The sequence below is a fragment of the Homo sapiens genome, chromosome 7 (genome assembly GCF_000001405.40).
Source record: "Homo sapiens chromosome 7, GRCh38.p14 Primary Assembly".
In the NCBI taxonomy this organism is placed as follows: domain Eukaryota; kingdom Metazoa; phylum Chordata; class Mammalia; order Primates; family Hominidae; genus Homo; species Homo sapiens.
In genome coordinates this window covers 44,601,379-44,618,201 of record NC_000007.14, presented here as the reverse complement: position 1 = coordinate 44,618,201, position 16,823 = coordinate 44,601,379, and the positions used below count along the sequence as shown (strand labels likewise).

Below are 16,823 nucleotides of genomic sequence, written 5' to 3'. Positions count from 1 at the left end.
TGAACTTATCACTGTACACAAAAATGATACAAGTTGTAATCCATTAATTTCAAGATGCAAAAATAAACACATACATTTGGGAAAAATAAGTTGTACAAAGAAAAAAAGTAAAAACCAAAGGAAAATTAGTTTTTAGGTGTTAAACGCCCTGCCCTTAGGAAACGATATACTTAAATAGGGTTCTGTCTGAAATATGAAGCCTTCGAGGTCTATGCCTCGAATTTCCCCAGTTGGGTAGGAGGTACCCTATCCCAGGGCACAAAGAATGAGGGAAATAAACCAACTACTGACGCCTATCAATATGACATTGGCTAGGTAGGGGGGTGATTAAAAAGGCAAGACCTAGCAAAAACAGTCTGCTGTTTCTCAGTAAATAAGTCTTTGAGGGAAAAAAACCCACACATCATTACATGATCCTTAAACCCTATGAGTGTTAGCTGGCAACCATTTTAAAGGACAACTCATCCACTTTCTTTTTTTCAGTTTCAGACTCAATTCTTCTGATGAATCATGAACACATTTGCTACAGACCTATGGCTGTTGTCTCATGCCTGCAATTATTTTTGTTTTAGTAGTAATACAAAGAACTCATGTACAGAGTACAGATATCAATTCTCCCTTATTGGCTGAGAATCTCAAAGAATTTATTATCTTTCACTAGTGACACCTCATTACATATAAGCTGAGGGAAGTAGTGAGGATTACTTTTAAACTGTAAAGTTTTTTTTCATTGCTAGATGGAAACAATTGTTGAGCCTGCAGGTACAGAGACCGTGTGACACCAAGTCACTGTGTGAGCTTTCCTGGGCCAACAGAGACCACGTGACACCAAGTCACTGTGTGAGCTTTCCTGGGCCATAAAGTGGAGACAGTAATTACTCCTAACCCCCTCATAATGTCTTTTTGTAATTGTAACACAAATATGAAAGCACTTTGAAAACTTGAAGGTATATCTATGACTAAAGAAATGGTTGGGTATGGTGGTTCATGCCTGTAATCCCAGCACTTTGGGAGGTCGAGGTGGGTGGATCACCTGAGATCAGGAGTTTGAGACCAGCCTGGCCAACATGCTGAAACCCCGCCTCTACTAAAACTACAAAAAAATTAGCTGTGCATTGTGGCGGGTGCCTGTAGTCCAGCTACTTGGGAGGCTGAGGCAGGAGAATTGCTTGAACCCGGGAGGTGGTTACTGTGAGCCGAGATCGCGCCACTGCACTCCAGCCTGGACGACAGAGTGAGACTCCAGAGCTCCGAAAGGAGTCTCGCTCTGTCGTCCAGGATGGAGTGCAGTGGCGCGATCTCGGCTCACATATATACATATATATATACGTATATATATATGTGTATATATATACACGTATATGTGTATATATACACATATATACGTATATATGCATATATATACACATATATATATGCATATACACATATACGTGTATATATATACACATATACACTTATATACGTATATATGTGTATATATACATAAACATGTGTGTATATATATACATATACATATGTGTATATATACGTATATACGTATATATATGTGTATATATACATAAACATGTGTATATATATATACATATATATATGTAGCCTAGGAAAAAAGGCAAACTAGTGATATAAAAAGTTCAAGTTTCCAAGATATTTAAACCTAAACATTAGCTAATTTGGAGTGGCGGTCAACTGGTAACTTCCAAAACATTAGTAGGCTGTCTCCATCATTTAGCACAGAAGCCTATTTAGCTCACCAATCATGGGTGGTCACCACTGGTAGGGACTGACACCTCCCTGATCAGATCCCTGAGTACGCTTCAGTATATAGGTCTGAAGACTGTTCTGCCCTTTCCCTGAGACGTGGCCCCACAGCATCTGAGATGCCCATGACTGATGTGGTATAAACAGGTTGACTGGGGAGGGTGTAGATAAATAGGCACTTTTAAAAGGTATTGATAGAGTGTAAATTATTAAATCTTTATGGAAAGCAGGACAATTTTTCAACATCTCATTAAAGCATATATAAAACGTGTTTCCTGCTAAATATAGCTAAAAACATGAGGCGTTACATTTAAGACAAAACAAGACTGTGAAAGGTGGAGAGAAGGAAGCAGACTGGCTAGGAACCAGAGGACCCAAAGAAAGAGCATTGAGGTTTTTTTTTTTTTTCTTTCTGTCAGGGTCTTGCTCTGTTGCCCAGGCTGGAGTGCAGTGGTGTGATCTCGGCTCACTGCAGCCTGGACCTCCCAGGCTCAAGTGATTCTCCCACCTCAGTCCCCCAAGTAGCTGAGACTACTACAGGCGCACATCACCATGCCTGGCTAATTTTTGTATTTTTTATAGAGACAGTTTTGCCATGTTGGCCAGGGTGGCCTCGAACTCCTGACCTCAAGTGTCAGACTCCCAAAGTGCTAGGATTACAGGTATGAGCCACCACACCCAGCCGAGCACTGAGTTCTTGATTTTCTTTATGCTTCATGTGTTTCAGACCTGGGTACTCGAGAAGCCTACAACCCAGAAATGCCAACAGGTGTAGACAAAGAAAACTACAAACAGAAACCTGTTCTCTCTAGCCAAAGGACCAGGAAAAGAGCAGCAAGATGGAAAACTTTTAAAGTTTTAAACAACAATTGCTCTACTGCGGCCAAATTCCACAGGAAATATCCTCACTCCACTCAGCTGGTGTCAGAATAGGGACCAGGGACTTTCATCCCCACCTGGTGAATAATGAGCCCTTCCAACTCACTCCCTGATAAGATAGTGGAGACCAGGTAGGGAGTCTGGATTTCAATCCCATCCAGCAGTAATGAAGCAGCACCCCTCCCTTCCCAGGCAGGGTGATGTCACCAAGGCCTAATGGGGAACTCTTACAGTCATACAGCAATAACAAGGAATCCCTCCCCCCAGACACCGCACCAGCAACAGTGAGGAAGCAGCCCCTCCCTGCCCCAGCAGAGGAAGCCTGCATTGCTTAGAGATTTAAACAAGATCAAGAGTCCATAACATAACACCCAGAATGTCCAGGTTGCAAGTCAAAGATCACTCTTTACACCAAGGGCCAGGATAATCTTGTCCGGGCATGGTGGCTCATACCTGTAATCCCAGCACTTTGGGAGGCTGAGGTAGGTGTTATCACTTGAGGTCAGGAATTCAAGACCAGCCTGGCCAACATGGTGAAGCCCTATCTTTACAAAAATACAAAAATTAGCCTGGCATGGTGGCACATGCCTGTAATCCCAGCTACTTGGGAGGCTGAGGCAGGAGAATCGCTTGAACCCAGGAGGTTGCAGTGAGCTGAGATCGCGCCACTGCACTCCAGCCTGGGCGACAGAGCGAGACTTCATCTCAAAAAAAAAAAAAAAAAAAAGAACCAAAAGAACCGGGATAATTTCAAACAAAAAAAGACAATCTATAGACACCAATACCAAGATGACGTAGACTTACAATTATCTGACAAAGATTCTAAAAGAGGCATCCTCAAAATGCTTCCACGAGCAACTATGAACATGCTTGAAACAAATGAAAAATAAAGTTTCAGCAAAGAGAAGATGTAGAGAACAAAACAGACATTTCAGAACTGAAAAATGCACTAAGCAAAAGAAAAAAGCTTTAGCATGGGTTAAAGGGCAGAATAAAGACAGAGGAAATCAGTGAACTTGAAGACAGAACAAGGCCTCAGGGAAATAACAAAAGATCTAATATTAATGTCATTGGAGTCCCTGATGAAGGCAGAAGGAGGGGCTGGAAAAGCATTCAAAGAAATAATGGCTACAAATCTCCCAAATCTGGCAAAAGGCATAAAGAACCCCGTGAAGAATAAACCCAAATAAATGCACACCAAGACACATCATAAACAAATTCAGAAAACTCAATACAAAAAACAAACAAACAAAAAAAACAAAAAAAACCAAAACCTTGAAGGCAGCCAGAGAGAAATGGTGCATTATACACAAGAAAAAAAAAAAAAAAGGCCTGTAATCCCAGCACTTTGGGAGGCTGAGGTGAAAGGATAGCTTGCCTAGGGGTTTGAGACCAGCCTTGGCAACAGAGCAAGACCCTATATCTACAAAAAATAAAAATTTTAAAAAGACAGCTAGGCCAGGTGCCGTGGCTCATGCCTGTAATCCCAGCACTTTGGGAGGCCGAGGCGAGCGGATGGCCCGAGTTTGGGAGTTTCAGACCAGCCTGACCAACATGGAGAAACCCCGTCTCAACTAAAAATACAAAATTAGCTGGGAGTGGCAGCACATACCTGTAATCCCAGCTACTCGGGAGGCTGAGGCAGGAGAATCACTTGAACCTGAGAGGTGGAGGTTGCAGTGAGCTGAGATCACGCCATGGCACTCCAGCCTGTGCAACAACAGCAAAATGCCATCTTCAAAAAAAAAAAAAAAAAAAAGCCAGGTGGCTGGGCCCAGTGGCTCACACCTGTTATCCCAGCACTTTGGGAGGCCGATGTGGGCAGATGACTTGAGGTCAGGAGTTTGAGAACGGCCTGGCCAACATGGTGAAACCCCATCTCGACTAAAAATATAAAAATTATAGCCGGGCGTGGTGGCTCACGCCTGTAATCCCAGCACTTTGGGAGGCCGAGACGGGTGGATCACGAGGCCAGGAGATTGAGACCATCCTGGCTAACACGGTGAAACCCCATCTCTACTAAAAATACAAAAAATTAGCCAGGCATGGTGGTGGGCGCCTATAGTCCCAGCTACTCGGGAGACTGAGCAGAAGAATGGCGTGAACCTGGGTGGCAGAGCTTGCGGTGAGCCAAGATCGCATCACTGCACTCCAGCCTGGGTGACAGAGTGAGACTCCGTCTCAAAACAAACAAACAAACAAATAAACAAACAAACAAAACAGCCAGGTGTGGTGGCGGGTGCCTATAGTCCCAGTTACTCAGGAGGCCGAGGTGAGAGAATAACATGAATCTGGGAGGCAGAGGTTGCAGTGAGCCGAGATCACAACACTGCATTCCAGCCTGGGCGACAAAGTGAGACTGTCTCAAAAAACAAAAACAAAAACAAGCCAGGCGCAGTGGCTCATGCCTGTAATCCCAGCACTTTGGGAGGCAGAGGCAAGTGGATCACGAGGTCAGGAGATCGAGACCATCCTGGCTAACATGGTGAAACCCTGTCTCTACTAAAAATACAAAAAAATTACGTTGGTGGCACGTGCCTGTAGTCCCAGCTACTCAGGAGGCTGAGGCAGGAGAATTGCTTGAACCCAGGAGGCGGAGGTTGCAGTGAGCCGAGATCGCGCCACTGCACTCCAGCCTGGGCGACAGAGTGACACTCCGTCTCAAAAAAAAGAAAAGAAAAGAAAAGAAAAGAAAAAAAACAGCCAGGCGTGGTGGTACGTGCCTGCAGTCCCAGCTACTCAGGAGGCTGAAGTAGCAAGATTGCTTGAGCCTGGAAGTAGAGGCTGCAGTGAGCTGTGATAATGCCACTCTACTCCAGCCTGGGTGACAGAGTAAGACCCTGCCTCAAAAATAATAAATAAGTATAATGAAGAAAGGTGGCCAGGCGTGGTGGCTCACGCCTGTAATCCTAGCACTTTGGGAGGCCGAGGCGAGTGGATCATGAGATCAGGAGTTCAAGACCAGCCTGGCCAACATGGTGAAACCCCATCTCTACTAAAAATAAAAAAAATTAGCAGGGTGTGGTGGTGCATGCCTGTAGTCCCACCTACTCGGGGGTCTGAGGCAGGAGAATCGCTTGAACCCAGGATGCAGAGGTTGCAGTGAGCCGAGATCATGCCCATTGCACTCCAGCCTGGGCAACAGAGTAAGACTCCGTCACAAGAAAAAAAAAAGAAAGGCAAAAGAACTAGATTAGCTGAAACAATTTTGAAAAAGAAGTGAGAGAAATCAATCTATCCGATTTTGAGACTTCTTATGAGCTACAATAATAAAAACTCTCGGTATTGGTGATGGGATAGACACAAAGATCAATGGAATGCAACAGAGAATCAGAAACAGAGTCACACAAGTACAGCCAAGTGATTTCTGACGAAAGTGCAAAAGCAATTCAATGGAAGAAAAACAGTCTTCTCAAACAAACGGTGCTGGTTAGATATTCATAAGCAAAAACCCCCCACAAAAACCAAAAAACACTCAAACTTTAAACCACATACAGAAATTAACTCCAAATGGATATACCTAATGTAAATGACGAGTTAATGGGTGCAGCACACCAACATGGCACATGTATACATATGTAACAAACCTGCATGTTGTGCACATGTACCCCAGAACTTAAAGCATAATAATAAAAAAAAACATTAAAACTTTTAGAATATCTATTTGATCTTGAGTCTTTAGGACTCAAAAAAAGCTGGCCACAAGACTAAATTTATATCAATTACATTAAAATTAAAAACTGTTCATCAAAAAGTACCATAAAGTGAAAACATAAAAAAAAAAAGAAAAAAGAAATTAAGTCTAAATGAATCATAGATTTAAATGTAAAATTTAAAAATTTTATAAAAGTGGCCAGGCGCAGTGGCTCACGCCTGTAATCCTGGCACTTCAGGAAGCCAAGGTGGGAGGATTGCTTGACCCCAGGAGTTTGAGACCAGTCTGGGCAACATGGCAAAACCCGTCCCTACAAAAAATACAAAAATTAGGCCAGGCACGGTGGCTCACGCCTGTAATCCCAGCACTTTGGGAGGCCGAGGCGGGGGGGATCACGAGGTCAGGAGATCGAGACCATCCTGGGTAACACAGTGAAACCCCGTCTCTACTAAAAAATACAAAAAAAAAAAATTAGCCGGGCATGGTGGCGGGCACCTGTAGTCCCAGCTACTCAGGAGGCTGAGGTGGGAGAATGGCATGAACCCGGAAGGCGGAGGTTGCAGTGAGCTGAGATCGTGCCACTGCACTCCAGCACTCCAGCCTGGGCGACAGAGCGAGACTCCGTCTCAAAAAACCAAAAAACAAAAAATACAAAAATTAGCCAGGCATGGTGCAGACTCCGGTACTCTTAGCTACTCAGGAGGCTGAGGTGTGAGGATCACCGGATCACCTGAGCCCAGGAGGTTGAGGCTGCGGTGAGCTGTGATCATGCCACTGCACTCCAGCCTGGGGTGACAGAGTAAGACCGTGTCTCCAAAAAAAAAAAAAAAAAAATTTAGAAAAATACATATGATAAAATCTTCAGGAATTTGGGCTAGGCAAAGAGTTCTTCAACTCAACACCAAAAGCAATCTAACAAAAGATAAAATTGGTAAACCAGACCTCATCAAAATTATAAACTTTTGCTTTGCAAAAGACCCCGTTAAGAAGATGAAAAGGGGCTGAGCGCGGTGGCTCACGCCTGTAATCCCAGCACTTTGGGAGGCCAAGGGGGTGTCGATCACGAGGTCAGGAGATCCAGACCATCCTGGCTAACACAGTAAAAGCCCGTCTCTACTAAAAATACAAAAGAATTAGCCGGGCGTGGTGGCACGCGGCTGTAGTCCCAGCTACTTGGGAGGCTGAGAAAGGCTTGAACCGGGGAGGTGGAGGTTGCAGTGAGCCAAGATTGCACCACTGCACTCCAGCCTGGGCAACAGAGCAAGACTCCGTCTCAAACAAACAAACAAACAAAAAGATGAAAAGGGCTAGGAGCAGTGGCTCACGCCTGTAATCCCAGCACTCTGGGAGGCTGAGGTGGACAGATCGCGAGGTCAGGAGTTCGAGACCAGCCTGACCAACACGGTGAAACCCCGTCTCTACTAAAAATACAAAAATTAGCCAGGTGTGGTGGCAAGCGCCTGTAATCCCAGCTACTCAGGAGGCTGAGGCGGAAGAATCGCTTGAACCTGGGAGGCAGAGGTTGTAGAGATTACGCCACTGCACTCCAGCCTGGGGGACAGAACGAGACTCCATCTCAAAAACAAAACAAACAAACAAACAAAAAAAAAACCAAGATGAAAAGACATGCTGCTGACTAGGAGAAAATATCTGCAAACTACATATCCAACAAAGCAGTGGTATCTAGAATACATTAGGAATTCTCAAAGCTCAACAGTTAACAAAAACCGAACAATCTAATTACGAAATGAACAAAAGATATGAACAGACATTTCACCCGAGAGTATACAGGGGCCAGGCATGGTGGCTCATGCCTGAAATCCTAGCCTTTGGGAGGCTAAGACAGGAGGATCACTTGATCCCAGGAGTTCAAGACCAGCCTGGGCAACATAGCAAGATCCCATCTCTTCCAAAAAAAGAGAGAATAGACAGATGGCAAATAAGCACATGAAAAGATGTTCAACATCATTAGCCATCAGAAAAATGCAAATTACAACCACAAAGAGACATTACTACACATTTATTGGAATGGCTATAATAAAAAAAGTAACATCACCAAATGCTGGCAAGTATGTGGAGAAACAAGACCATACAGTGCCGGTGGGAATGTAAAATAGTACAATCACTCTGGAAAACAGTTTGGCTATTTGTTTAATAACTAAGCACGCACTACGACTTAGTGATTGTATTCCTGGGCATTTATCTTGGAGAAATGTCAATTTATGTTCAAATAAAAATCTGTACATGAAGGTTTGTAGCAGCTTTATTTGTAATAGCCAAAGAATGGAAACAGTAAAGATGTCTTTTAATGGATGAATAAACCAAATGTGGTACATCCATAGCCCAATAGCCCGGCTTCAATAAAAAGGAATGAAGTACCTTTTTTTTTTTTTTTTTGAGACAGGGTCTCACTCTGTCACTCATGCTGGAGTGCAGTGGCGCGATCTCGGCTCACCGCAGCCACCACAGCCTAGGCTCAAGCGATCCTCCCACCTCAGCTTCCTGAGTAGCTGGGATTACAGGAACACACCACTGCGCCTGGCTAATTTTTTTTTTTTTTTTTTTTTGTAGAGACGAGGTCTCACTATGTTCCTCAGACTCGAACTCCTGGGGCTCAAGCGATCTGCCTGCCTCAGCCTCCCAAAGTTGCTAGGATTACAGGCGTAAGCCACTGCGCCTGGCCAAGGAATGAACTACCCATAACACGCAACAACCTGGATGATTCTCCAGGGAATTAAGCTGACTGGAAAAAACCAATCCCAAAAGGCTCTATGAATCCTTTTATTTGGCATTCTTGACATGCCAAAATTAGGGAAATGAAGAACAGATTAGTGGTTACCAGGAGTTGAAGGACTGGGAATGGGAGGAATGTGGGTGTGGCTATAAAAAAGCAATGGAAGGGATCCTTGTGATGACGGGAATATTCTGTATCTTGAATTTTATTAATGTCAATATCTGGCTGTGATATTTACTATAGTTTTGCACAATGTTAGAGAAGTGGGAAAGGAACACAGGATCTCTCTGTACTATTTATTATGACTGCATAGAATAAATTTTTATGTACAATTTCTTAAAATTTTACTGTTTTCAAAATGAATTTCTCAATAATTTGTACAATGATCTCAAAAATTACCTAAAAATCTAAAAAGTAGATGATACTGTAGTTTTTTCTTTCCTTTTTTTTTTGAGATGGAGTCTTGCTCTGTCGCTCAGGCTGTAGTGCCGTGGCGCCATCTCGACTCGCTGCAACCTCTGCCTCCTGCGTTCAAGCGATTCTCCTGCCTCAGCCTCCTGCTGAGGCTGGAGGAGCTCAGCCTGTAGCTGAGACTACAGGCCCACGCCACCATGCCCTGCTAACTTTTGTATTTTTAGTAGAGACAGGGTTTCACCATGTTGGCCAGGCTGGTCTCAAACTCCCAACCTCAGGGGATCCACCCACCTCGGCCTCCCAAAGTGCTAGGATTACAGGCGTGAGCCACTGCGCCCGGCCTTTTTTTTTGAGACAGGATCTCACTGTGTCACCCAGGCTAGAGTGCAGTGGGGCAATAATGGCTCACTGCAGCTTGGACCTCCCTGGCTCATGCCATCCTCCCGCCTCAGCCTCCTGAGTAGTTGCGACTACAAGTATATGTGGTATATGCCACCATATCCGGATAATTTTATTTTTTGTAGACGCCGGGTATCACTTTGGTTGCTCAGGCTGGTCTCCTTGAACTGAGCTCAAGGGATCTTCCTTTCACACTCCCAAAGTGTGGGGATTACAAACGTGAGCCACCACGACTGGCCGAAATTGTGCACGTCAAATGGGTGAATCGTATGGTATGTGAATTTTATCTCAATAAAGATGTTATTTAAAGGGAAAAAGTAACTGAAATGTGAAAAGTGCGCTTAAAAAAAATAATGAGGGGCCGGGCGCAGTGGCTCACGCCTGTAATCCCAGCACTTTGGGGGCCGAGGCGGGCGGATCACCTGAGGTCAGGAGTTCGAGAATAGCCTGGCCAAGGTGGTGAAAACCCGTCTCTACTAAAAATACAAAAATTAGCCGGGCGTGATGGCGCGTGCCTGTAATATCAGCTACTTGGGAGGCTGAGGCAGGAGAATCACTTGAACCCAGGAAGGCAGAGGTTGCAGTGAGCCGAGATCGCGCCACAGCACTCCAGCCTGGGCGACAGAGACTCCATCTCAAACAAGACAACAACAACAAAAAATGAGCATACAGTGATCTTTATTCAACTTCCCAAGATCCAGTCCTCAGCTAATTTACAAAACTACAATAGTGTTACATACTCTCCTAGGTCTACACGGCAAAGTACAGTTTGACTGTTGCAACTAGTGCTGCCTTACAAAAAAAGGCTTTATCCCATGCCACCCATCCTAAACCCAGCTGTTCAGAGCAGTGTACCTGGAAATCAGCCTCAAAGTACGGACTGCAAGACAAGGCACAAGGAAACCCTAACACGAAGTCCTATGTTCTGGGCAAAGGGATGGGGATGGCAGGTGGGACGCACCCAGGTCAGGGCGAGGGCGCGGCAAGTTTTCTATTAAATCTCAGTAGATTACAACTCATATCCAATGTCTGATATATTTTCGAGGGAAAATGGTGCTTGAAAGATGTTTCTACGAGAAATAAGCTTCATCTCGGTCAATCTGTTCGACCCAACTTCTGGCAGCAGGTGTGGGGGCGGCGCCAAGGTCTGCGCGGTAATCCAAACAGGCAGTCCCACCCAGGGCCACCCCAAAGCCAGATGCTCCGACGCAACTCGAGCAGGCCACACTGTCTTTCGGACAAAGCGACGCGGTCCTCACAGGCGGGAAGGAGAGTGCGTCCCGGTCGGGAAGGACGCCGTCGGAGAGCGGCCTAACCACGTGACGCCCGCGGCGACCTTGGGGGTCACCCCTGCGGACGCACCGCCCTCTCCCTCACATCCGCCGCCGCGCCCGCCCCCCGCTCGCCCACCGCCAATGGCGCGTCGCTCCGCGCCCCGCGCGACCTCGGAGCCCGCCCGTACCCGCCAATCTCCGCCCGCCGGGCAGGCCCCGCGGCTCCATTGGCTGCCACGGCCATCCATCAGGTCCCGTCCCTCCTACCACCCTCCGTGAGCCCCACTCCATCCAGCTCCACTCCCCTGTCACCGCGGCGCCCGCAGCACCAAGGGCGCGGCGGCCTCCCCCTTTACCGCGATCTCCAACCCCGGGCCGCCAAGCGCCGCGACACCCGGCACTGGGACGGGCGCGGCGACAGCGCACGGTTACCTGTCTCCGGCTCAGCTCCACCCGAATGAGGCGCCGACACCCCACTCCGGGGCTCCAAACTCTCGGCCCCGCCCCGGCGTATGGCGTCAACACGTAGCCCTCCCCTGGAGAAGAATGCCCTCCCCTCTTACAGAGGACCGATTCGTGACGTCACAGAGCCGCGCCGGGCGTCACAGCGCCGACTGCGCAGTTGCAGAAGCCAGGGCCAGCTGGAGCCCAGCTGTTTGCTCCGCTAGAGAGATGAGGTTGTCTATGGACTTCCAGCGGCTTCTGCTATCATAAATAATTTCTGAAAGTAAGATATCTCTAGCGCCTGGTAGGAACCTATCAAGAGATAGTTGGGTTGATGTGAAACTTAGCGCACAAAAATAAACAATTTGAATAACAGAATCTCCGTTTTTGAGATTGTCCTGGGTCAGGCTTTGTGACAAGCGCTTCACCGGCGCTATTGTGTAACAATCTGTGAGACAGGTGTTCCTATCCCCGGTCTACAAATGACAGTTGGCAGTGCTGGGATCTTGCCCGGGATCTTGCCTGGGTTTTCTTGACTTTAGAGCTACCTATCAAAGATAAAACGTGGCTAATTAACCTGTCACAACCTGTTGATTGTAAGATGTTCCCTATTTTAAAGTATTAAAATTTGGGGAAAGGCCGGGCGCGGTGGCTCACGCCTGTAATCCCAGTACTTTGGGAGGCCGAAGCGGGCGGATCACTTGAGGTCAGGAGTTCGAGACCAGCTTGACCAACATGGGGAAACCCCGTCTCTACTAAAAATACAAAAATTAGCTGGGCGTGGTGGCGATCCCAGCTACTCGGGAGGCTGAGGCAGGAGAGTCGCTAGAACCCGGGAGACGGAGGTTGCGGTGTGCCGAGATCGTGCCATTGCACTCCAGCCTGGGCAACAAGAGCGAAAATCCGTCTCAAAAAACAAACAAAAAAAGGGGGCGTATAAGTGCTTATTATAGAACAAAGTTAGGGTAATGTATGTGACAAGGATCTAGAGACTGGAAGAGGTGAAGAGACCAAGGAACAAACTTCTGTATTCTTTTTTCCTTTTTTTTTTTTAAATAAATTACGGTAAAAATGTATGTACTAAACATTTGCAGCTGGGTGCAGTGGCTCACGCTTGTAATCCCAGCACTTCGGGAGGTGGAGGCGGGAGGATCGCTTGAGCTCAGGAGTTCCAGATCAGCCTGGGGAACAGAGCAAGATCTCATTTCTACTAAAAAATCAAGAAAATTAGCCAGGTGTAGTGGCACTCACCTGTAGTCTCAGCTAATTGGGAGGCTGAGGCAGGAGGATCTCTTGAGCCTGAGAGATTGAGGCTGCAGTGAGCTATGATTGTACCACTGCACTCCAGCCTGGGCCAGAGAGCAAGATACTGTCTTTTTTTTTTTAATGCCATTTTAACCATTTTTAGGTGTATAACTCAGTGGCATTAATTACATTCACAATATTATGCAACCGTCACCACTCAATTTCCAAAACTTTTTCATCACCTGAAACAGCAACTCTGTAACCATTAAGCAATAACTTCCTATTTCCCCTTCTCCTCCTGTCCTTCTCTCCTTTGGTAACCTCTATTATACGGTCTCTATACATTTGATTACTCAATTACTTTATGTGGGTGAAATCATAATGTATATGTCCTTTTGTGTCCACCTTATTTCATTGAGCATGAGGTTGTCAAGGTTTATCTGTGTTGTAGCATGGGTCAGAACTTCATTTCTTTTTTTTTTTTTTGAGACAGGATCTCCCTCGGTTTCAGGCTGGAGGGCAGTGGTGCCATCTCAGCTCACTGCAATCTCTGCCACCCAGGTTCAAGTGATTCTGATGCCTCAGCCTCCCAAGTAGCTGGGACTACTGGCACGCTCCACCATGCCTGGCTAATATTTTTTTCTTTTTCTTTCTTTCTTTTTTTATTTTTGAGATGGTGTTTCGTTCTTGTTGCCCAGGCTGGAGTGCAGTGGTGTCATCTCGGCTCACTGCAACCTCTGCCTTGTAGATTCAAGCAATTCTCCTGCCTCAGCCTCTCAAGTAGCTGGGATTATAAGCGCCCGCCACTACGCCCAGCTTATTTTGTATTTTTAGTAGCGATGGGGTTTCACCATGTTGGCCAGGCTGGTCTTGAACTCTTGACCTCAAGTGATCCACCCACCTCGACCTCCCAAAGTGCTGGGATTACAGGCATGAGCCCCCATGCCTGGCCAGAACTTCATTTCTTTTTATGGCTGAATAATATTCCATTGTATGTATATACCACATTTTGTTTATTTATTCATCTATTGATGGACACTTGGTTATTTCTGCTTTTTTGCTGTTTTGAATAATGTTGCAATGAACATTGGCTTATAAATGTTTGAGCCCATTGTGGTACCAAGCAGTGGGCTCACTGCTAGATGCACATAGAAGCCAATACTATGTCATCACCTTTTGAGAAAAGGCTTTATCGTAAGGTCGACCAGCAGGGAAACCAGAGGCAATACTCAAATTTGTCTCCCCAAGATGGAATCTGGGGGCAGGTTTTATAGGCAGAAGGCAACTATGAGGGAGATGGGAAAATACAACAAGGTGTGATCTGTTTGGGTCATGCAAAGGGGCAATGCTGGATCTTTGGCTTTTAAGTTCATATTGCAGCAAAACAAGGCGCCCCATGCTTCCTAATTTGGTGTCCATTCCTCCATTTGAGTGGTTAAGTCCTGCCTGTGGTTGACTTTTGTGTTCCCACCGACACCAGGGTCAGCTATCAGGCACACTTTGTTCATCTGGGCATACTTAGGTTACGTGACTTGCAGCCTGGGGATCTATTGTAACTGAAAAACAACTCATCATTTTGTTACTGATAAAAGTTGAACCAGGCTGGGCACAATGGCTCACACCTGTAATCCCAGCACTGTGGGAGACTGAGGTGGGTGGATCACCCGAGGTCAGGAGTTCAAGACCAGCCTGGCCAGCAGGGCGAAACCCCCATCTCTACTAAAAATACAAAAAAATTAGCCAGGCTGGTGGTGGGTGCCTGTAATCCCAGCTACTTGGGAGGCTGAGGCAGGAGAATCGTTTGAACTCGGGAGCCGGAGGTTGCAGTGAGCCAAAACCGCTCCTTTGCACTCCAACCTGGGCAAGAAGAACAAAACTCCATCTCAAAAAAAAAAAAAAAAAAAAAAACTGAATCAGATTCAACTGGTCCTGTGGTTACACCTGTTTATAATTCTTTTGCCTGTATACCTGGGAGTGTAATTTCTGAGTTATATGGGAATTCTGTCTAGCTTTTTCAGGAAGTGATAAATTCCCACAGTGACCGCACCTTTTTTGTTTGTTTGTTTTTGAGACAAGGTGTCAGGTTGGAGTGCAGTAGTGTGATCACAGCTCACTGCAGCCTCAACCTCCGGGGCTCAAGTGATCCTCTCAGCTCACGCTCCTGAGTAGCTGGGACAATGGGCATGCACAACCAGGCTAGGCTAATTTTTTCTGTTTTTTGTAGAGACAGGATCTTGCTGTGTTGCCCAGGCTGGTCTCGAAGTCCTGGCCTCAAGCGATCCTGCTGCCTCAGCCTCCCATAGTGTTGAGATTACAGGTCTGTCTCTATTTTTTTTTTTTACTGTCTCTATTTTTAAAAAAATTACTATCGGTCAGTCATGATGCCTCACTCCTGTAATCCCAGCACTTTCAGAGGCCAAAGTAGGAGGATTATCAGCCTGAGCAACATAGTGAGACTTTGTCTCTCCAAAAAAAAAAAATTAGGAGTGGTGACACATGCCTGTAGTCCTACCTATTTGGAACGCTGGGACAGTAGGATTGCTTGAGCCCAGGAGCTTGAGGTTGCAGTGAGCTATGATCATGCCACAGAACTCTAGCCTGGGCACAGAGCAAGACCCTGTTCCCCCACCTCCCCACTCCCCAACCAAAAAAATTTGGTGAGGTGTAGTGGCTTATGCCTGTAATCCCACCACTTTGGGAGGCTGAGTCAGGAGGATTGCTTGAGGCTAGGAGTTCAAGATCAGCTGGGCAACATAGCAAGACCCCATCTCTAAAAAAAATTTATTACAGCCAACTATAATAAATAGGTATGAGGTGGTATCTCATTGTGGTTTAGAAAGTATTATTATTTTTTAGAGGTAGAGTCTCACTCTGCCACCTAGTCTGGAGTGCATGAGCACAATCAGAGATCACTGCAGCCTTGAACTCCTGGGCTGGGACTGCAAGTGTGGGCCACCACGGCTCATTGTGGTTTTGATTTGCATTTCCCTAGTGGCTAATGATGTTGAGCATATTTTCATGTGGTGCTTGTCCATTTGTATATTTTCTTCAGAGAGCTGTCCATTTGAGTCATTTGCCCATTTTTAAATTGGGTTTTCTTGTTGTTATAGGAGTTCTTTATATATTCTGGATATTAAATCTAATCAGATATATGATTTGCAGATATTTTCTCCCATTTTGTAGGTTTTCATTTCTTTTTTTTTGTTTGTTTGCTTGTTTTGAGACAGGGTCTTACTCTGTTCCCTAGGCTGGAGTGCAGTGGTGTGTGATCATGGCTCACCGCAGGCTTGATCTCCTAGGCTCAAGTGATCCTCTTGCCTCAGCCTCCTGAGTAGCTGGAACCATACCACAGGTGCACACCACCACGCCCAGCTAATATTGTTATTTTATATATTTATGTTTTTTTGAGACAGAGTCTCGTTCTGTCACCAGGCTGGAGTGCAGTGGTGCGATCTTGGCTCACTGCAACCTCTGCCTCCTGGGTTAAAGCGATTCTCCTGCCTCAGCCTCCTGAGTAGCTGGGACTACAGGCATGTGCCACCACACCCAGCTAATTTTTGTATTTTTAGTAGAGACGGTGTTTCACCATGTTGGCCAGGATGGTCTCGATCTCTTCACCTCGTGATCCGCCCTCCTCGGCCTCCCAAAGTGTTGGGATTACAGGCGTGAGCCACCGCACCTGGCCAATATTGTTATTTTTTGTAGAGACAGGGTCTTGCTTTGTTGCCCTGGCTGGTCTTGCACTCCTGGCCTCAAGAGATCCTCCCACCTCAGCCTCTCAAATGTGCCAGGCCTCTCTTTATCTCTTGACAATGTCCTTTGATGAACAAAAGTTTTTAATTTTGTTGTTGTTGTTCCTAAGGAGTTTATCTGGGCTGTCTTGGGGGTGGAGAGGACTCTGTACCTAGAGAAGGTATTGGGTTTCTTGTTAACAAAGTGTGGCTCATGCTGGCATGGCAGGACTGGTGGGGCAGAAAGAACTTGATAGTGAAGTGGTGGAATTGATTGCTGACTGGCA

The 16,823-nt window shown here is 46.0% G+C and overlaps 1 protein-coding gene across 9 annotated transcripts in view, besides 5 other annotated features; it reads right to left on the bottom strand.

Moving 5' to 3' along the window:
* The window catches only part of OGDH (oxoglutarate dehydrogenase), a 102,440-nt gene extending 90,865 nt beyond the window's left edge, over positions 1-11,575 (bottom strand). For 8 of the 9 annotated variants that reach the window (NM_001439009.1, XM_011515408.3, NM_001439008.1 and 5 more), the window contains exon 1: positions 11,549-11,575. The gene's annotated coding sequence lies outside the window, so the exon portion shown is untranslated. Of the gene's footprint in view, positions 1-4,252; positions 4,351-11,548 lie in introns of those variants that run through there. The other variant, XM_047420426.1, reaches the window with a different exon arrangement.
* Positions 10,586-10,925: an enhancer, noted in NCBI's record as "active region_25946". NCBI's record gives its function as "activates an Ori minimal core promoter by ATAC-STARR-seq in GM12878 lymphoblastoid cells {active_cell/tissue: GM12878}" and the evidence as "EXISTENCE:reporter gene assay evidence [ECO:0000049][PMID:35858748]".
* Positions 10,586-11,164: a biological region, named in NCBI's record as "H3K27ac-H3K4me1 hESC enhancer GRCh37_chr7:44646637-44647200".
* Positions 10,601-11,164: an enhancer, noted in NCBI's record as "H3K27ac-H3K4me1 hESC enhancer chr7:44646637-44647200 (GRCh37/hg19 assembly coordinates)". NCBI's record gives its function as "activates a minimal SCP1, AML or CMV promoter by ChIP-STARR-seq in naive H9 embryonic stem cells {active_cell/tissue: H9 hESC(naive)}" and the evidence as "EXISTENCE:reporter gene assay evidence [ECO:0000049][PMID:30033119]".
* Positions 11,146-11,375: a silencer, noted in NCBI's record as "silent region_18147". NCBI's record gives its function as "represses an Ori minimal core promoter by ATAC-STARR-seq in GM12878 lymphoblastoid cells {active_cell/tissue: GM12878}" and the evidence as "EXISTENCE:reporter gene assay evidence [ECO:0000049][PMID:35858748]".
* Positions 11,416-12,015: an enhancer, noted in NCBI's record as "active region_25945". NCBI's record gives its function as "activates an Ori minimal core promoter by ATAC-STARR-seq in GM12878 lymphoblastoid cells {active_cell/tissue: GM12878}" and the evidence as "EXISTENCE:reporter gene assay evidence [ECO:0000049][PMID:35858748]".